At 42.5% G+C, this 22,764-nt stretch overlaps 1 annotated feature.

Moving 5' to 3' along the window:
* Nucleotides 7,898–8,067: an enhancer, noted in NCBI's record as "experimental_82262 CRE fragment used in MPRA reporter constructs". NCBI's record gives its function as "activates a minimal promoter by MPRAs in K562 erythroleukemia cells, with activity observed for both the introgressed and non-introgressed 5:149035827 variant alleles {active_cell/tissue: K562}" and the evidence as "EXISTENCE:reporter gene assay evidence [ECO:0000049][PMID:34662402]".

Below are 22,764 nucleotides of genomic sequence, written 5' to 3'. Positions count from 1 at the left end.
GGGCCAGATCGTAAATACTTCAGGCTTTGCAGGCTAATGGTCTCTGCCCCAACTGCTTAACTCTGCCATTGTATTGCAAAGGCAGCCATAGACAATATATAAATGAATGAATGTGGCTGTATGCCAATAAAACTTTATTTATAGACACAGAAATTTGAATGTCATATCATTTTCAAGTGTCATGAAATATTATTCTTCTTTAGTTTTTCAACTACTTAAAAATCTAAGCACCATTCTTAGCTCCCTGCTGTACCAAGACAGGTGGCAGACTGGATTTGACATGTGAACTGGAGCTTGCCGACTCCTGGTCTGTGCATATGAAAACCAAGTAGGGATGGACGTTCTTTCCCCTCTTTTTTACATGAGGGGAACCTGCTATGCTAAAGTGCTTTTCTCACTTTGCAATATATCTTAGAGATCATGCCACATGAGTTTGTACAAAAGGTCCTTGTTTTTGCCTTTGGCATAACATTACATTGTATTCCATTAGTATATTTTACCGTAATTTCCTTAGCCAATCACTTACTTACCGGTATCAGGCTATTTCCTTCTGCTACTTAAAAACAATGTTGCATTGAAAACATTGTACATATTTGTATATGTTTTTATAAGATTTTATTGAAATATAGTTAATGTACCACCTAATTCACCCTTTTTAAGTGTACATTTCGATGGTTTTTAGTATATTTAGAGAGCTGTACAACCAATTTCACAGTAAATTTTAAAACATTTTAATTACTCCAGAAAGAAATTCCACACCCCTTAGCTCTCATCTTTCAGTCCTGTCCACCCCTTCCAGCTCAAGACAACCACTATTTTCTGTCTCTACGGATTTGCTTATTTTGGACATTCATATAAATGGAATCATACAATACGTGGTATTTTGTGAATGGCTTTGTTGATTTTGCATAAACTTGTTAAGACTTATCCATGTTGTAGCATGCACCAGTACTTCATTCCTTTTGATTGCAGAATAATGTTCCATTGGATGGCTATACAGTATTTTATTTATCCATTCACCAGTTCTTGGGTTATTATAATAATGCTGCTATGAACATTCACGTATGAATTTTTGTATGAAAACATGTTTTTATTTCTGTTGGTTACATACCTAGGAGTGGAATTGCTGGATCACATGGCCATTCTATGTTTAACCATTTGAGGAACTGTCAGACTATTTTCCAAGTGGCTGCACCATTTTACGTTCCCATTTGCAGTATATGAGGGTTCCAATTTCTCCACATCCTCACCAACATTTGTCTTTATATTTTGTTTTGGTTTTTTTAGACAGAGTCTTGCTCTGTCACCCAGACTGGAATGCAGAGGTTGATCATAGCTCACTGCAGCCTTGATCGCCCAGGCTCAAGAGATCCTCCCGCTTCAGCCTCCCTAGTAACTGGGACTACAGGTGTGTGCCACCACACCTGGCTAATTTTTAAAAATTATTTGTAGAGACAGGGTTTCCTTATGTTGCCCAGGCTGGTCTCAACCTCCTGAGCTCAAGTGATCCTCCCACCTTGGCCTCCCAAAGTGTTGGGATTACAGGTGTGAGCCACTGAGCCTGGCCTCTTTTTTAAAAAAATTATTATTATACCTATTCCAATAGGTATGAAGCAGCATCTCATAGTGGTATGCGGGAGGATGTGGCAGGGGTGGGTGGATAGGGGTGTGTGTGTGTGTGTGTGTTTAACCAAATATATTCTTTTTTTTTCTTTTTTTGAGGTGGAGTCTTGCTCTTGTTGCCCAGGCTGGAGTGCAATGGCACGATCTCAGCTCACCGCAACCTCCACCTCCCAGGTTCAAGCAATTCTCCTGCCTCAGCCTCCCGAGTAGCTGGGATTACAGGCATGTACTACACGCCCGGGTAATTTTGTATTTTTAGTAGACACGGGGTTTCTTCATGTTGGTCAGGCTGGTCTTGAACTCCCGACCTCGGGTGATCTGCCCGCCTTGGCCTCCCAAAATTCTGGGGTTACAGGCATGAGCCACTGCGCCAGGTTTTTTTGTTTGTTTTTGTTTTTTAGACAGAGTCTCACTCTGTCGCCCAGGTTGGAGTACAGTGGTGTGATCTTTGGCTCACTGCAACCTCTGCCTCCCAGGTTCAAGTGATTCCTGTGCCTCAGCCTCCTGAGTAGCTGCGATTACAGGCGCACACCACCACGCCCCGCTAATTTTTTGTATTTCTTTTAGTAGAGATGGGGTTTCACCATGTTGCCCAGGCTGGTCTCAAACTCCTGAGCTCAGGAGCAATCCGCCCGCCTCGGCCTCCCAAAGTGCTAGGATTACAGGTGTGGGTCACCGTGCCTGACCTAAGAGTTCTTCTGAGAGTTCTGAGAGTTGCTTTTTAAAATGTATATATCTTGGAAATTTGTTTGTGTCATTATATGGGGATCTTCTTTGTGCTTGTTAAATGCTGCAAAGTGCCAGAGCATGAATATAGCCCAGTTTAGCCATTCCCTAATGAATGCTATCTTGGCTATCTCCAAAAAATACATACAACACACAACACACCAATGAACATTCTTGTTTTGCTTCCTTGTGAATAGAGCAAGCATTTCTTGAAGATAGTCTTAGAAGTGGAATTGCTGAATTAAAGAGTTATGTACTTAAAAATTTAGGGGGGGTTTATAATCTATCCTCTGAAAAAGCTGTGCCAGTTTACACTCTACCAGTAGTGTATGAAAGTGCTCATTTCACTACATCTATGCCAGCCCCGGATATTAACCCTTTCATTGGTGGCAAAAAGTATTTTGTCTTAATTTGCATTTCCCTGATCAATGTGAGGCTGAGTACGGGGCCATGCCCCCACCCATGGCACTCCTCCTTGGCACTAGGGTGTTGCCCCTTCACTTCCGTGTCTTCCATGGTCCCCAGCACAAAGCTGAATGTAGTAGGCACTGATCAATATTGATGGAGTCAGGGCACTGTGATTTTTGCAGCCTATCTGATGAAAATATGGTCTGAGACTCTACAAAATTCTGCAGTGTCTTGTTAGTCCTCCAAGATTTAATTGCAACTGTTAGACCTTCTGTCTGAGCTGTATGGTCTTTTAAGCCTTGAAAAAAAAATTAGGAACCCTCGACTGGTCTAGGGAGTAATTCTTTAGTAATCAGCAGACTGACTATGACACCTGGTCAGGATGGACCATAATAGTATTTCAAAATAGGTCCTAGGATCCCAGGACCTATTTCTGGGTCCTAGGATCCCAGAAAGCAGAACTGCTGGAAACTTCCTGATAGCATTATCCAAATGGATGATCCAGAAATGAAAAAGACCTTAGGGGTCAATTAAAGCCCTTCCGTTGTACGGAAAGGAAGACTGAGATCCCAGCTAGGGAGGCCCCAGCTAGAGAAATGACCTGTTCCAGGTCATGTAACTAAGTAGGAGTGGGGCTGTGAGTGCAGCCCAGGTTCTGATCTCAGGCTAGTGCTCTTTCTTTAAAATGTGTGGAGGCTGGACGTGGTGGCTCACACCTGTAACCCCACCACTTTGGGAGGCCGAGGTGGGTGGATCACGAGGTCAGGAGATTGAGACCATCCTGGCTAGTATGGTGAAACCCCATCTCTACTAAAAATACAAAAAATTAGCCAGGCGTGGTGGCGGGCGCCTGTAGTCCCAGCTACTCAGGAGGCTGAGGCAGGAGAATGGTGTGAACCCAGGAGGTGGAGCTTGCAGTGAGCCGAGATTGGGCCACTGCACTCCAGCCTGGGCGACAGAGCGAGACTCCGTCTCCAAAAACAAACAAACAAAAAATGTGTGGAATCAGAGGAGTCACCTCTAAACTCCTCCGCAAGCCCCTCTACTCCTAACTAGAGAGCATGACTTTTCCCAGAAGGCAACATGGAGCAGGAATAAAGGTTTTCAAAACAGCCCAGGATTCAAATCCTAGCTCAGCCACCAGGGTCTATTTAATGTACCCTCTGATCCTCATTGTCTTCCTCTTTGATATTTAATATTACCTACTTCACAGGATTATATCCCTATTTAAGATTACCTACCTCACAGGGTCATGTGGGTTTAAATAAGATAAATACTTTGTCTGATATATACTTGCAGTAAGCACTCAGTCATGGCTATTATTTTTTTCCTCTAGTTCTCCTCCTCTTGGCTGAATCAGCTGTGTGGGTATAAAGATTGATTTGCCATAAGGTAGGAAATTCCAGGTTCAAATTCCACAAAGTTCAGTGGATTATATGTCCCTGGCTTTGTCTCTTCATTTGCCTTGGCTTGAGTTGCTATCTTCCAAGTCGTTCCTTTAATAAACCGTCGTTCTCAGCAGAGGGACCATCCACTTCCTTGTTTATCGCCACTTCATAAGTTAGAAATAGTTGAGAACAAGAGTTTGGTTGAGCTCAGTTGTTCTTTCAAGCTGGGCTTCCATTAGAATCACTTGGGGCAACATTTTTAAAAGCATCAGGTCAGCGTGTTGGCTCACGCCTGTAATCCCAATGCCTTAGGAGGCCAGGCAGGAGGATTGCTTGAAGCAGGAGTTTGAGACTAGCCCAGGTAGTCTACAAAATTAAAAAATAAAAAAATTAGCCTGGCATGGTGGCATGCACCTGTGGTCCCAGCTACTCAGGACGCTGAGGGGGGAGGATCGCTTGAGCCCAGGAGTTTGAGCTATGATTGCACCACTGTACTCCAGCCTGGGCGATAGAGGGAGACTTTGTCTCAAAAAACAAAAACAAAAACAAAAACAAAAACAAAAAACCAAACAAAAAACACTAATGACTGGAACTGGTCCCCTCCCTTTTCCTGATAAAATTCGTTGAGAGAGTAGGGCCCACTCTCAACCCAGGTGATTCTGATGGAAGCAGGGGCAAGATCCACTGGTTTCAAACTTTAGCATGCATCAGAATTGCCTGTAGGGCTTGACCTGTGAATTTGCATTTCTAACAAGCTCCCATATGATGATAGTGATGAGGCTGCTGCCAATCTGGGGAGCACACTTCACTGACACAGATGGACATGAACCTGAGTGGACCTCTATGGGCTCTTTCCTTCCCAACATCCTGTCCCCAGCTGGTAGCAGCTCCTGATGTGCCTTTGGAGAACTGCCCCTCCTTAACCCTTAGACCGAAACATATAAATGACACTCACCCACCTCCTAACTTCAGAGACAGACACATGGGCTAGGTCTGGCCAATCAATACAATCTATACCCTGGCTCCACTGAGTGACCAGGTCAGCGATGGGCATGTCACTTCATATAGTCCAGTGACAGTCAACACTGGGACTTCTGCTGGAGCCCTTGGGAAAAGGTGTTAAGGTGGCAAGGTGTGAACCTGACGCTGCTGGTGGCCACGCTGCCTTTGTCTAGGAAGAGCCTGCCTGAAGGCAAAACAGGCAAAGGAAAACAGAAGAGACTAAGAGAGACCGAGTTTTGATGACAGCCTTTTATTCCCAGGATCCAGCCAAGCCTGAGTCTAGATCTAAATTTTTCAGGTGCATGAGCCAACACATTCCTTCTTTACTTAAGCCAGTTGGAGGTGGATTTTTCTCATATGCAGCTCAGAGATCGCTGACAATGTGGGACATCTCCAGCGCCTTTTCACCCAGAGACTGCGATTCCAGCTTCTCCCCTGGATGCTGCTTCCATCAGGCAATGACCTTCAACAAGGCCCCAGAACTGAGCAGCAGAACTCTGAAAGGTCACTTAGTCCCATCCCCTCCTTGTTTATATGGGAAGACCCAGGGCCCAAGAGAGGCAAGGACTTGCCTGGAGTCATGCATACAACAAAGCCAACTGTGATATCAGCCCTGGCTCTGTCAATAAATACACCCATACCAGAGGGGTGATAACAGCAGAGGCAGTGCCAGAATACCAGTCAAGTCTCCTTCTCAAGGACAGTCCCTGCAGGGACAGGGGCTCACTTCTTTAGCATGAAAAAGGGTCTTATTGACCTTTTCTCAATGCCTCAGTTTCTCTAATTACAATTAAAGAAACACACTCATATATGTTGTTACTCTTAATCATCAATGGAGTGTATAGACATGGCAAAAAAAATTTTCAAGGGACACAGATGAACAAAAAGGGAAAATGAAACACTCCAATAATCTCAGCACCCTGGCTAACACTGCTAACATTTTGGAGTTTTGCATATTCCCTCTCTCTCTCTCTCTGTGTAGATTTGCCTTGGGCAAGGGACCCAAACTACCCTCCTGAAGAATGAATTGGGTCACATTGTTTTTTGTTTTTTGAGACACAGTCTCTCACTCTGTCACCCAGGCTCCAGTGCAGTGGCACAATCTCCACTCACTGCAACCTCCACCTCCCAGGTTCAAGCGATTCTCCTGCCTCAGCCTCCTGAGTAGCTGGGATTACAGGCGCACCACCACGCCCAGCTAAGTTTTGTATTTTTAGTAGAGATGGGTTTCACCATGTTGGCCAGGCTGGTCTTGAACTCCTGACCTCAAGTAATCCGCCTGCCTTGGCCTCCCAAAGTGCTGGGATTACAAGCATGAGCCACCACGGCCAGCCCAAAATGTACATCTTAAAGGTGAGAAAGGAAGAGACTTCTTTGATTCTCTGGGGTTTGTCAGACAGGGTTCTGCAAGCACCAGAAACTAAAGAGAAGGGGTATTGTTTTTGTTTGAAGACCAATGGAAATTTACAAAATTGTTGAAAGACTAGAAGAGCAGACGCAGGTTAGCAGAAATTAAGGAAACTCTGAAGGGCCAAGAAGCAGGAAGCAGGAAAAGCAGTCACTGCCTTGAACAGGGACATAGGTCAGGATGCTGTAAATGGCCCCTCCACAACTGCTATTGCTACAAAGACAATGGCCAGAAACCATTCCCCTCTCCTTGCATAGTCAAAGTCCTGGGAAATAGCATCTTAAATAATGCATTTCCCACTGATTTGCCCAGAAGGTGAGGAGAGGAAGGATCTGACTCCTTTGCCTTCAATTGGAGGAGGCTAGCGGTGGGAGGCAGGAGCCAAGAATGACCCCTTTCCCAAGGCAGTGGGGAGAGGAGACACTTTCCCTTAATGGAACTGGGGTGTTTACTGGAGGAGGAACGGTCCTGTACAGTCCCAAACCAAGAACTGCCCACTAGTGCAGCCTAGAAAGAGCAAGAGCTTGGGAGGCTGCTGCTTCTAGGAAGAGTTTGTAACTGAGCCTGGAAACTGGTCCCAACCTAGCTACCCTAGCGCACTGTTGGTAAATGTGTAAACAATTGTGTTTGAGCGTGTATATAAATAAAAGAGCTGTAACACTAGATGTTCAGTGTGTAATGGAGTGACCATAGCTATGTGGGAGATGTCTTTTCCCTTTCCCAAAGCCCCCGGAGTAACAAATGGAGAACCAGCCAAATGGAGCATGCCTGGATCAATAAAGCGGGTTTCTATAGTGGGGAGTATAGACTGCACCTGGGCCTGGGCCTGCAGGTGTTATCTTCCAGGCGCTTACAGACATGGTCTCAGGGGACTGCCTCTAGGCAACAGAGTAGCTTCTTTTCAACAGTGCCCTCATGTGGCAGTGCCAGAAACTGCAGGGCACCTAATGAGGCTTCCTAGGTTTTTGTCCTTCAGGATATGGGAACTAGCAGTGCCCCTTTGGACTAAGTAAGTAACTATCCTAGACAACCTAAGAGGGAGGGTCTCAACTAGGGAAGAGAGTCGTTTTCAGAAAAGGTGGGCCAGATGTGGCAGGTCAAGCCTGTAATCCCACCAACTCAGGAGGCTGTGGTGGGAGGCTGAGGCGGGAGGACCACTTGAGGCCAGGAGTTCAAGATGAACCTGGGCAACATAGTAAGCCTCACATCTCTAATAAATAAATAATAATAATTAAAATAAAGAAGAGGTGGGAGAGACGCTCAAGTCATTAAATTTTAGGAATAAAAAATCATGGGGCAAAGCATCCTTCTATGTGGAAACCGATTCACCAAAATTGTTTGGGTGCCAGTCTTCTACTGACGGCCCTTGAATCCATCTCACAGTTTTCCATCATGCTTGACCATGGGAATATCATGCACCTGCTTGTCCACTGCCTTGCTCAAGTTCAAATATACTAGGTCACTGTTACTTCCTTATTAAAGAGGGAGTTTAGGGACTCAGTAATTGAAGGGAAGAGGGTAAACAAAACCTCTGCCCTTCAGCGTCTGCTTTGATCCTGGACATGGTTTGTAGGAGACTCCCACTGCACTGGAAGTCGGTAGTCTTGATCCTTGGTCCCAACTTGGCCATTAACCTGCTGCGCAATCTTGAGCAAGTTGCTGGAGCTCTCTGAGCTCCTCATCCCTCCTCAGGCAAAGAACCTCTGCATTGCCCACACCAGGGGCCTGCTTTGAATGAAGTTAAGGCTGTAAAAACCTAGAGAGGACAAAGTAGGTAAGTATTAACAATAAATAATGTGGGGAGACTTTTTACTGCAATAATGCCTTTTCTGTGTCTGCAGAGTTGGAGAATGAAATACGGTTCCGGGCCAGAAAAAAACAGCTCTTAAAGGATCTCTTTCTGGGTGTGTGGTGTGTGTGTGGTGTGGTGTGTGTGTGTGTGGTGTGGTGTGTGTGTGTGTGGTGTGGTGTGCATGTGTGGTGTGTGTGTGGGGTGTGGTGTGTGTGTATGGGAGTATGGTGTGTGTGTGGAGTGTGTGGGATGTGTGTGTGTGGTGTGTGGTGTGTGTGGGGTGTGTGTGGTGTGTGTGTGGTGTGTGGTGTGTGTGGTGTGTGGTGTGGTGTGTATGTGTGGTGTGTGTGGTGTGTGTGGGGGGGTGTGTGTGGCGTGGTGTGTGGTGTGTGTGGTGTGTGTGGTGTGTGTGTGGGGTGTGTGTGGTGTGTGTGGTGTGTGTGTGGTGTGTGGTGTGGTGTGTGGTGGTGTGCATGTGTGGTGTGTGTGGTGTGTGTGTGGGGGGTGTGTGTGGTTGGTGTGTGTGGGGTGTGTGGTGTGTGTGGTGTGTGTGTGGTGTGTGTGTGGTGTGTGGTTTGTGTGTGTGTGTGGTGTGTGTGTGTGGTGTGTGTGTGAGGTGTGTGTGTGGTGTGTGTGTGGTGTGTGTGAGGTGTGTGCGGTGTGTGTGAGGTGTGTGTGGTGTGTGTGTGGTGTGTGTGTGAGGTGTGTGTGTGGTGTGTGTGGTGTGTGTGAGGTGTGTGTGGTGTGTGTGAGGTGTGTGTGTGGTGTGTGTGGTGTGTGTGTGAGGTGTGTGTGTGGTGTGTGGTGTGTGTGTGGTGTGTGGTGTGTGTGGTATGTGTGTGGTGTGTGTGCAGGTGTGTGTGTGCAGTGTGTGTGTGCGGTGTGTGGTGTGTGTGTGGTGTGGTGTGTGGTGTGTGTGGTGTGTGTGGTGTGCGTGGTGTGTGTGGTGTGCGTGTGGTGTGTGTGTGTGGTGTGTGGTGTGTGTGGTGTGGTGTGTGTGTGTGAGGTGTGTGGTGTGTGTGGTGTGTGGTGTGTGTGTGGTGTGTGTGTGGTGTGTGGCGTGTGTGTGGTGTGTGGTGTGTGTGGTGTGCGTGTGGTGTGTGTGGCCTCTTTGTCACCGTCTCTTCTGCTTATTCTCTCTCTCCTCTCTCCCCTTCTGTTTCTCTGTCTCTTCCCCTCCCTCACTTTTCCCCAACCTTTTCCCAGACTTGGCTGGACCAGAGCTGAAGTGTTTCACGGGTGGCAGCTCAGGGCCCTTTTAAACCAGGTCTTCCCTTCCTTAATGGCTGTGGTTGGCAAGAATGGACCAAGTCAAGATGGCCTCTGGGTTTTTCTGGGGCTCTGATTCCAGACTTGGAAAGCAGAGCGTTTCAGCTGCTTACAAATCCCAGGAGGGTGTGACAATGGGACCATGGTGGCAGAACAGAGCAGAGAGGCCCCTGGTTACTGCACTCAGTTCTCGGGGTTGCAGGGGGCAGGGGGAGGATAGGGGAAGGGAGGGGAGGTTCTGCCAGCTCTTGGTGGACTGTTGGCTTCAGGCCGAGTTAGGCTGTGCTGAAACCCCCAGCTCAGCCCTGCTTCCTGCCCCCCTGCACCAGCACTCCTGCCCCTGCAGGAGACAAGACAAACCTGGTTGCAAATCCCAACTCCCCAACCTGCTCATTAGGTAACCTTGGGTAAGTCATAGCCTCTTGAAATTTCACGTCTTTATCTGGAGATGGAGATAATAAGGAGGTGAGCTATAAGGAGCAGGTGAGGGCAGTCGCACAGCACAAAGCAGAGTGAGCAAAGTAGAGCCTGCAGGCCAAATCCGGCTGCCACCTGTTTTCATATGACCTGTGAACTAAAAATGGACTCTATATTTTTTAATAGTTGGGGGGAAAATCAAAAGAAGGGTACAGTTTTATGACACTGAAGATGATACGAATTTCAGATTTCAGTGGCCATAAATACAGCATTATTGCATACAGTCACACCTATTCACTTATGTATTATCTATGGCTGCTTTGCACTACAGCGACTGAGTTGTGATCAATTGTTCATGACACTTAATGTCTAAAATAGTAACTGGCCCTTTACAGAAAAAGTTTACCAACCCTTGGCACAGGTTTAAGAATGCAGACTACTTGGGTTCAAGTTACCATTCTGTCACTTACTAATTTTGTGACATTGGGAAGGCCATGTAATCTATATGTGCCTCAATGTCTTCTTCTGTCAAATGAGGATAACAACTCTTACTGAGTTGTTTTGAGGACTAAATGAGTTAACATTCGTAAAGCACCGGACCAATGTCTGCACACAGAAAGTAAATACATAGATGAGATCATGTATATGGAGTATATGAAGAATTAAGCATGTATCTGTTGATTTGGATTTGGTTGGAAGAAAACCAGAAGGAATAGTGGCTTTGTCTCTGGTACTGTTCCGGGCAACATTTTCTTTTGTCAGACACTTGCAGGAAGACCTCAGTTGTGAGATAGAGGAAGGCCCTGAGGATGCAGGTGGAGGAGAGTAAATGAGGGAGGACAGAACTGGATTCCTAGAGGCTCTGTCAAGAACAAATGCACTGACTATACTAGAGGATGATTTGAACGAATGCACTGACTATACTAGAGGATGATTTGAACAAATCCACTGACTACACTAGAGCATGATTTGGAGGGGTTAACCCAAGTATGTTAATATGTAGTTTGCTTTTCTGTTTTGTTTTGGGTTTGTTTGTTGTTTTTGTTTTGCTGCTATTAAAGAGAAAAGAATGAGAGCTAATTTTTGACTTACAGAGTCTTGAAAAGGAGTTGAAGGTGGAGGCAGTTCTCTCAAGGTGAGACTTGAGGGGACTGGGGAGACATGACTTAGTGGCAGCATTTGTGACATTCATTTAAATGCAACTCATGTCCAGTCAATGGTGGCCAAAAAAAAGTGCATGATGTGCTGCCACCAAAGTGAATGCAATCTCAGGCTGCGTTAACAGAAGTAGGTCTTGTGGAAAGAGGGAGGTGATGTCTTTCCCTTTTCTCTAGCTAGCCCATGGCCTACCCTGAGCAACTTGAGGGATGTGGACACGCTTGATGGCATCTCCAGACCTTCTCATTGGTTGCATTGGGTTTTTCCCCACCCTCACCATCTGTGACCCTTAGGAGCAGTTAATAAATGCCAGCAGCTCCTGTCTTCCAAATATCTATGTAGAACTCACCCAACTCTCCCCTGGACAATGTATGCCTAGAGAATGGGTCTTACTTCAAGTCAAAAATTCTACTTTATCAGCAGCTACAAAAACATTAACCTGATCCCTAGAGGCAGAGTTTAGCCCATTTGGAAACTCCTGTAATCACCCGGTCTCAGGAGATCCATGATCCTTCAGTGGTCTCAGAGACTGGGGGGGCCCACCTTAGACTTGTCCAGGCTCCTCACGATGTGGCTCCAGCCTAATTTCCCAATCTCACCTCCCATTACTCCCCTTTACATATACTTGTCTCAGCCAAAGGAGACCTGTTTAGCTTTTTCAAAAACACATGCTATATTAGTTACCTTTGGGTTGCAAAGGGGCAGAATGCCAATGTCCACTGGGTTGACCAAGAATGGGATTGGCTCATGTGACTGAAATATACAGGATTTTCTAGCCTCAGACCCAGTTGGATCCAGCAGCTTAGGATTTCTCTATCTCTATCACTTGTGTTAATTTCATTCTCAGACCAATATCCCCCCAGGAAGCTACAAAATAATTGCTGAAAACTCCAGATTCAAATCTGGCAGCTAGTGGAAATAAAACTTCTCTCCCACAAGACTATGAGCCCAAGACCTAGGAACTGACTCTCATGGAACAGATTGGGGCTATTGTCTATCTCAGATCAAGTCCCATGGCAAGAGACATTGAACACAATAATTGAACAGGCCTAAGTCACATGCCTCAGGAGGCAGGGGAGGAGACCCCATAAGATTTGGGGGTCATGTCTGGAACTGCAGCAGCAATGTGTAACCAAAAAGAGAGTCAGCCTGAGAGCCAGTTGACACCTGAGAAGGGCAGAGCAGAGAAATGGAAAGAACCTGAGCCCTTGACTATGGCATTGGGCCAGTGAATTAACTAACCCTGGGCCATCCTACTTTGGGATTTATGAGTGTAGTATAAGAAATTTTCTCTTATTGTTTTGGCCAGTAGCACTGGGGTCCTCTCTAACTCGTAGCCATAGCACTAAGTGACTCAGACAGACTCATTGATTGAGAGTCCCGGAAGAGAGATGACATTTTCAATACCAGCTATATATATATAAATATATAAATATATTTATATATCTATAATATATAAATATATATATATGTTTATATATCATCTATAATATATAAATATATAAATATATTTATATATCTCTATAATATATAAATATATAAATATATTTATATATATCTATAATATATATAAATATATTTATATATATCTATAATATATAAATCTATAAATATATTTATATATATCTATAATATATAAATCTATAAATATATTTATATATATCTATAATATATAAATCTATAAATATATTTATATATATCTATAATATATAAATCTATAAATATATTTATATATATCTATAATATATAAATCTATAAATATATTTATATATATCTATAATATATAAATCTATAAATATATTTATATATATCTATAATATATAAATATATAAATATATTTATATATATCAATAAATATAAATATATAAATATATTTATATATATCTATAATATATAAATATATAAATATATTTATATATCTATAATATATAAATATATAAATATATTTATATATATCTATAATATATAAATATATAAATATATTTATATATATCTATAATATATAAATATATAAATATATTTATATATCTATAATATATAAATATATAAATATATTTATATATATCTATAATATATAAATATATAAATTTATATATATCTATAATATATAAATATATAAATATATATCTATCATATATAAATATACAAATATATATCTATCATATATAAATATACAAATATATTTATATATATCTATCATATATAAATATACAAATATATTTATATATATCTATCATATATAAATATACAAATATATTTATATATATCTATCATATATAATATATAAATGTATTTATATATAAATATATAATATATTATATATTATAGATAATATATGTATTATCTATAATTATATAATATAATTATATATAATATGTAATGTATTATATGTTATATATTTAAGACATATATAATATATTATATTAATTAATATATTTATTATATAATATATTATATTAATATATTTATTATATAATTAATATATTTATTATATTAATATGTAATATATTATACTATATAATAAATATATATAATATATTTATTAATATATTATATAATAATATATAATATTATATAAAATATATAATATATAATACATAATATATTATATATTATGTATTATATATTATATTGTTTTAATTATATTAATATAATTATATATTAATATGTAATATAATTATTATATAATATAAATCTTATATAATATTTATATTATATTATATAAATATTATAAATATTATATATTATATAATTTATAAATATCAAATATTATATATTATATTAATATTATAAATATTATGTTATATAATATATCATATAATATATATTATATTAATATAAATATTATATGTTATATATTATATATTATATTAATATTATACATATTATATATTATATAATATTAATTATATAACATAATTATAATAATTATAATATAATATATTATATAATATATAATATATAACATATAATATTATATCTTATATAATATATAATATATAAGATATATATTATATAATATAATATATATTATATATATTATACAATATATATAATATATAATATTATATTTATATTTAAGACAGAGTCTTGCTCTGTCACCCAGGCTGGAGTGTAGTGGCGTGATCTTGGCTTACTGCAACTTATAATATTTATATTATATTATATAAATATTATAAATATTATATATTATATAATTTATAAATATCAAATATTATATATTATATTAATATTATAAATATTATATATTATATAATTTATAAATATCAAATATTATATATTATATTAATATTATAAATATTATGTTATATAATATATCATATAATATATATTATATTAATATAAATATTATATGTTATATATTATATATTATATTAATATTATACATATTATATATTATATAATATTAATTATATTACATAATTATAATAATTATAATATAATATATTATATAATATATAATATATAACATATAATATTATATCTTATATAATATATAATATATAAGATATAATATTATATTATATAATATATATTATATAATATATATAATATATAATATTATATTTATATTTAAGACAGAGTCTTGCTCTGTCACCCAGGCTGGAGTGTAGTGGCGTGATCTTGGCTTACTGCAACTTCTACCTCCCAGGCTCAAGCAGTTCTCATGCCTCAGCCTCCCGAGTAGCTGGGATTACAGGCACGTGCCACCACACCCAGCTAGTTTTTCTATTTTTACTAGAGACAGGGTTTCACTGTGTTGGGCAGACTGGTCTGGAACTCCTGGCCTCAAGTGATCCACCCACCTTGGCCTTCCAAAGTGCTGGGATTATAGGCATGAGTCACCACGCCCAGCCAATGACAGCTATTGAAGCTCTAGGCAAACCACCTCTCCACTCTGGGCTTTAATTAAGAAGGAGGTATAGAATGGTGGCAAGAGGATGAGCTTCAGAGTCTTATAACATAGATCCATCACTTACTAGCTATGTGCCTGATATGATTTGGCTGTGTCCCCTCCAAAATCTCATCTTAAATTCCCATGTGTTAGGGGAGGGACCCAGTGGGAGGTAATTGAATCATGGGGGCAGGTCTTTCCCATGCTGTTCTTGTGATAGTGAATAAGTCTCATGAGATCTGACAGTTTCAAAAACAGGAGTTTTTCTGCACAAGCTCTCTTTTTGCCTGCTGCCATCCACGTAAGATGTGACTTGCTCCTCCTTGCCTTCCACCATGATTGTGAGACTTCCTCAGCCATGTGGAACTGTAAGTCCAATTAAACCTCTTTCTTTTGTAAATTGCCCAGTCTCAGGTATGTCTTTATCAGCAGCATGAAAATGGACTAATACAGTGCCCTTGAACACATCCATTCTTCTTGCTAAGCCTCAGTTTCTCCATCTGTAAAACGGGAAGAATAACCTGTACTTCATCAGGCTGCTGTGAGGATTGAGTCCATGTGTATTAGTCTGTTCTGGTATTGCTATAAAGAAATACCTGAGACTGGGTAATTTATAAAGAAATTAGGTTTTATTGGCTCATGGTTCTGCAGACTGTACAAGAAGCATAGCGACTTCTGCTTCTGGGGAGGCCTCAGGAAACTTACAATTACGGCAGAAGGCAAAGGAGAAGTAGGCGCATTTTACAGGGTTGGAGCAGGAGGAGGAGAGCAAGGAGGGAGGTCCTATGCACTTTTAAACAAACAGATCTCACAAGAACTCACTATCGTAAGGACAGCATCAGGGGACGGTGGTGCTAAACATTTCATGAGAAACCACTCCCATGATCCAGTCACCTCCCACCAGCTCCCACCTCCAGCACTAGGGATTACAATTCAACATGAGATTTGGGCAGAGACACAGATTCAAACCATATCACCGTGTGTAGGGTATCTAACCTGCAATTACAGTATCATAATGGCCATTTACAGAAAGATCACTTTTATCATAATGGCCATTTACAGAAGGATCACTTTTGTCTGTGCTTCATTAGACCAGGATCTCAATGATGCCCAAACAATGACTGATGAAGGGGTGAACCTTTATCAGCATTTCCTGAGAAGCTTTTTGAGAAATACAGATTCTCAGACTCCATCCATGGAGATCACAATTAAATAGATCTGAGAAAGGTTCTGTGTATTAGTCAGGGCTCTTACAGTGGCAAGTAGCAGAAACACATGTCAAGTAAAACTGGGTGAGGCAAAAAATAAAACAAAGCAAAAATAAATTTATTGGCTCATGTACCTGAATAAACCAGGTGTATAAACTTCAGGCATGGCTGAATCCAGGTGCTCATAACATGACACCAGATGTGTCTGTCTGCCTCTGTTTCTTTCAGTGTCTCTCTGTTTCTCTCTTACTCTCTCTCCCTCTCTTTCATCCTTTGTCATGGTTTGCCTCTTTGTTGGCTTCATTCTTAGCCACCAGTTCCAAGATGACAGCCACCAGCCAAAAGCCTAAAGTCTCCGAGAAAAGAGAACCTCTCTTCCTTTACAGCCTTGACACAATTCTGGGGGCTGCCACTCCAGCCTCTGGACGGATCACTCTGTCTGTGACTGGCCAGGCCTAGGAAAATGCTTGTGCCTGGAGTTTCAAGGGACCAAGCAGGGTGTTCACTCACACCACACGGTTGATGTGTGGGGTAGGTATGGCTCTCAAGAGAACATGGAATCTATCCTTGGGGGAAGAGGAAATAGGTTCTGAGCAGATAAAAATGCTACAGGGCTCAGCATCTGCGTTTCTCACCAAGTCATGCAGTTAATTTTGATTCCCAGGCAAGGTTGGGAATGACTGCTGGATAGATCACTGGTTTTAGGCCTCATTGGGGCTGTAGACTCTCCTTCCTCCTAGGAAATCTTAAACTAGGGAATAAACAAAATAGGCTAAAAAAAATGACCCTGTCCTGGTAGAAAGAGGGCCTTGGGGGCCTCCTATCATCTCCCAAGTAGCCCTTAAGACACCTCAGGGGCTCCCTGAGCTGCTACCTTTGCAAAGCTCCAATTCTCTGATTGCATTGCTTTCTCAAACCCCTTTGGCTCTGATTCTTCAACCCTGCATTTGGTGCAACTGGCCAGGATGAGGCTCAAAGAGCTCACTCAATGCTGTCACCCACCGCAGCCCCCACCCGCGTCTTAGAAGTCAGTGAGCCAGTGCCAGAGGAGTAAATAGGGACAAAAAGAGCCGGTGGCGGGCTTAGAAGGTGCATCAGACATGCCACGTCTGTCAGATGCTTCTGGCTTTGAAAGCCTGTCTTGGCCTGAGGCCAAATGACTTCCTGGGCTCTGCAGAGCTGCTGGGCCCTGGGGCTGCGTGGGTGGTAATGACCTGCCTGCCTGTCAGTGACGGAGGGGATGGCGACAGTGCTGCATCAGTTGTAGCAGAGGGAGATGCTACAGGGATACTTTGGCTGGGGAGATGTGGTGGAGGATAAAGTCAATTTCACACTTTATTAGTCAGTTCAGGGCCAATTGAGGCCATCCAGAAATGGGGCTGAGGCCCCAACTCTCTCTCCTTCCTTCACCAGCAAGAAAAGCCTCTTTCGCCTGAAATTCTTCTTGTCAAAGGAGGAGTATTTCTTTCTACTCAAAACCCCACAGCATTCAAACAAGGAGTTGCAATCCCTTTTATTCTGCAAGAGATGCTGCAGTTGAGAGAGGCCTGCAAGCTAAGAAGTGAGCAAATGGTGCTGGGGTGTGGAGGTTGAGCCATGTTTTTAATTCATTTGTTCATTCCTCTGTCATCCACTCAGTGTATGTCTCTGGGAGCCTACTATGTACCAGCAAACTGAGCTTGATGCTGAATGTAAATAATAATAATAATAATAATAATGGAATCCTCATTTGTGTACTTGTCCATTTATTCAACAGCTTTTCACTGAGTACCAACCACGTAGTAGACATGGTGCCAGGCTCTGGGGATGAAGTGTGAACAAGACAGACATGGACTCTGCCTTTATGAAGCTGACTCAGTGGGAGAGACCCTCAAGTAAAACAGTAAAACAGCAACCTCAACAGAGAGGGAGAAGGACCTGAGTAGAAGGCTATACAGAAAGAGCACCTGAACCAAGCAAAGAGGACTTCCTGGAGGAAGCGACATGTCACTGAGATTTGAAGGATAGTTTAGCAGGGGTGAAGGAGAGTGGGGAAGATGAAAGAGCACGTGTCAGAGAGAGCAATAGAGAAACTTCAGCTCAGCCAGGGCAGAGAGTTCAAGTCGGGGTGGGAGGGGACTAATAAACAGAGGTCGGACCATAAAGCCTTGGAAGGAGTGACACAGTGAAATCTGTGCTTCTGAAAGCTGGCCCTGGTGGTGACCTTTCGAAGAAAAGAGGGAAGGCAGGAGGAACTGGGCTGGAGATGCCTCGAGAGGCTATTGTAGGATAAGAGATGCACACTCAGGGACCCCAATGTGGGGCGTTCGTTGGCAGTGGGCATGATGAAACGTGAGTGCTTTCGGGAGATCTGAGGGATGTCATGCTCTGCTGGGGCTCCCTGTAGTTCAGACAGTTGGGTACAGTGGACAGACTAGACTTCCAGTCAGACGAAGCTGAGTTCAGAACCTGCTCTTTTCTTAATTCCCGTGTAGCCCTTGGCAAGTCCCTCAGTCTCTGGGCCTCCGTCATAGGATGGGACTCGTAACAGCCATCTAGTGAGATGACAGTGCATTAAAAAGTGTGCACACAGGGCATCTGTAAGGGACATGAAGAGAATGGTAAACTGTCAAAACTCAGCCCAGGCCAGCAGTAGTGGCTCATGCCTGTAATCCCAGCGGAGGCGAGGGCATCTTTTGAGGCCAGAAGTTCAAGACCAACCTGGGCAGCAAAGCGAGACCCCTTCTCTACAAAAAGTAAAAAATTAGCTGGGTGTGGTGGCACCTCTGTAGTCCTAGCTACTTGGGAGGCTGAAGTAGGAGAATCTCTGAGCCCAGGAGTTCGAGGTTGTAGTGAGATCATGTAGTGTAGATCATGCCACTGTACTCCAGCCTGGGCAATAGAGTGAAACTCTATCACAAACACACACACACACACACACACACACACACACACACGAAGAAAGAAAAAAAGAGAAAACCTCAGTCCACAGGAAAACATCTCAGTGCAATCCATCCACTTCCCCGCTGCATTAAAGCAGACACAGTCACTGAGCTGGTGTCCTTTCCTTATGGACTGGGGTTGAGATCTTAGCTCTGGATTTCTCTCTGTGGCCTTTCTGGTCAATTGATTTCATGGGACCTCAGTTTTCTCATCTGTAAAATGGGGATAACAATACCTACATTGACAGGAGATTGACCGAAAGATACCTGTAAGGTGCTTAGCACAATGCCTGGTATGTAGTAGCTGTTGAATAAATGATCATTAGGATTCTCGTTAATATTCTCCAGTCTCATCATCAACCATCAAGGTAGCCTAAGCACTGGCTTTATGCCAGATCCTGTGCTGGGTGTCAGAGATGAACAGAAGATCATGAAAATGTCTGTGAGTATTTTTAAATGCTTACTTGATGTAACTGCTGTGTGTGTGTGTGTATCTCAGTCAGTCACTTAACCTACATATCAATCAACCCTAGGACATAGCTAATGTTAGTATCAGCTCCATTTTACAGAAGAGGAAGTTGAGGCTCCGAGAAGATAAAGAACTTTCCCAACATCATGCCAATCTGCCTCTTGAGGGTCTGGGGTCACCATTCCAGTGTGAGCCAGCCTCTCTGCTGAATCGGCTCTACCCAACTGCCACTCAGGAACTCCTTCGTTGCAACTGACAATGACCCCACGTGGCAGTCAAACGCTCTGGCGACTAACTGCGTGGGTTTGAATCCCACCTCTGCTGCCTAGCATCTCTGTAACCTTGGGCATGTTATTTAAAGAACTGTTCCTCAGTTCTTCCTCTGCAGAGGGAATCACACAGAAGCATTGTGAGGGGACGGGATAAAGGAGACAGTCGCCCGAAGCATCTGGCCCCAGCCTGGCATGCACAAAAATTCAAGAGATGTTGGCTACTATTCTTAAGCAAAAGGGAAGTCTATTGGTGCCTGTAAACAAACTACAGAAAAAGCAGGGGTGGAGCTGAGCCTGGGTCACTGAACTATGGGACTTGAACACTATCAGAGGGGCCTGTTGGTATCCCTGTGCCTCTCTCTCGACCTTTCTCTGACTCTCACAATTTCTCTCTCTGTCTCTCTGACCCTGTCTTATTCTATGACTCTTTCTTGTTTTTCTCTTTTTCTGTCCCTCATTCTCTCTTGGCGTCACTTTTATTCAATCCCGCTCATTCTCTATGCTGTCTCCTTCTCTCTCTCTCTCCCTGACACTCTGTCTTCCTTGTGTCCTCTCTGTCTCTCTCCACTGAAGTATTTTCTCTCTTGTCTCCTCTTCACATGCCAGCCTCACTCTCCTGGGCCCATGTCCCCAAGATGTGAGACCGTGGGCCTCAAGTAAGGTTGCCAGATAAAATGCAGGGCAGCTAGTAAAATGTGAATTTCAGACAAACAGTGAATAATTTTTTAGTATAAGTATGGTCCCAAAATGTTGCATTGAATAAGAAGGATAAAGACCCTGCCTTTGAGGAGCTTACTTTCTCTTGAGTGAGCCAGACAATAAACAAATACAGAAACAAGAAAACAAGGAGTGATGTGTTCTGTAATGAAAATAAGACAAGACCAGGCACAGTGGCTCACACCTATAATCCCAGCACTTTAGGAGGCCAAGGTGGGCAGATTGCTTGAGCTCAGGAGCTTGAGACCAGCTTGGCCAATATGATGAAACCCCATCTCTATAAAAAATACAAAAATTAGCCAGGCTTGGTGGTACAGCTATTCGGGAGGCTGAGGTGGGAGAATCACTTAAGCCCAAAAGGCAGAGGTTGCAGTGAACTGAAATTGCACCACTGCACTCCAGCCTGGGTGAGAGAAAAACCCTGTCTCAAAAAAAAAAAAGGTTTTATTTTAACAAAATAAGAAAATAAGACAGGGTGATACAATAATGAGTGGTGAGGGGTGAAATGGGGAGGGCTGGAGGCCACTAGATTGAGTGGTCAGGGAAGGCGTCACTCAGGAGCTGACATTTACACTGAGACCTTCATGGCAAGGAAAACTGGCGATGGGCAGATCTGGGGGAAGAGCATTCCGGGGAAGGGAACAGGCAGTGTGCAGTGCAACGGCCCTGAGTCAGGGACAAGCTTAGTTAAGAGTCGCTGAGAAACGGAGACAGAGCAAGTGTGGCCCTCATATGGTGACCAAGGGGAGGGTTGTGCAAGGTGAGTGGGACAGTTAGGGCCTCTTAGTTCAGAGTAAGGAGTTTGGGTTTTGGTACAGTTTTCAGCAGAGGACTAACATTCTCCAATTTCCTATTTTGAAGAATCACTTTGCTACACTATGGAGAGTGGGTTGTGGGTGAAGGCTGAGGTGGGAACAGAGACCTTCAGGAGTCCAGACAAGAGATGATGGGTGAAGTTGCGGAGAGGGTGGAGGTGGAGCAGAAGTGGACCAATTTCAGGTAGGTTTGGGAGGGAAAATGAAAGGTTTGAATGTGAAGGGCTGAGAGGAAGAGAGGAATCAGGGATGAGGCCCCGGTTTCTGGTGGGAACAATTGTGTGGATGATGGCACTGTTTACTAAGAGGGGAAGACTATGGGAAGAGTGACACAAAGCCTTGCTTGCCGTCATCTTCCCCTCTTAGTAAATTGCAGGTTAGGTGTTTGCAAGCTCCAAGTTGCAGGGTAGGTGTTTATTGTTGATGTTGTACCTTACAGGGGGCTAAAGAAATGTGACCGAATTTTGGGGGGAGGATTATATAATTTAAATTTAATATCTAATTTTATTAAAAATAATGTATTACATGCATATTGTTATCCATTAAGAAAAACAACAAAAAAATTATACCCACAGCATAAATGACAGAAAGTAAATCTGGACAAAGTGCTTTTGGCTGGTAGCTGTGATTTTCAAGGTAGGGGTGGAGGCACAATGCTCCTAAGGGGAGTGCCACACCCTGGAATCTCTGGTGTGGGAGGTGGGATGGGGGTGTGTAAAAAGAAGGGGATGGATGTTGAGATTTTTCCAATTGTGTGTGTGTGTGTATTAATGTGTTTGTATTCTTTTTTTTTTTCTCACTCTGTCACCCAAACTGGTGAGTGCAGTGGTGAGATCTCAGCTCACTGCAGCCTCAGCCTCAGCAGGCTCAAGTGATCCTCCTGCCTCAGCCTCCCGAGTAGCTGGTACCAAAGGCATGTGCCACCATACTCAGCTAATTTTTGTATTTTTTTGGAGAGACGGGGTTTCACCATGTTGCCCAGGCTGGTCTCGAACTCCTGGACTCAAGCAATCCTCCCGTCTTGGCCTCTCAAAGTGCTGAGACTTTAGGTGTGAACCACTGTGCCTGGTCTGTGTTTGCATTTGTATTTTATGGTTGCTGTTCTGACCCATGACTTTTTCGGGGAGCAGGGAGGATGAAAAATGAAAATAAAAGCATTTAGAAAGATGATTAAAAAATTAAAAAACAAAAAAGTAGGGGGAAGGTGCACTCCCACACGCCGGCCAATCAGCTGCAACCGCACCATCAGCAGACCGGGGAGGCGCCTGGAGCCTGC

This window comes from Homo sapiens, chromosome 5 (assembly GCF_000001405.40).
Source record: "Homo sapiens chromosome 5, GRCh38.p14 Primary Assembly".
Classification (NCBI taxonomy): Eukaryota; Metazoa; Chordata; class Mammalia; order Primates; family Hominidae; genus Homo; species Homo sapiens.
The sequence above is the reverse complement of the archived record's forward strand: the minus strand, read 5'-3'. Positions and strand labels throughout refer to the sequence as shown.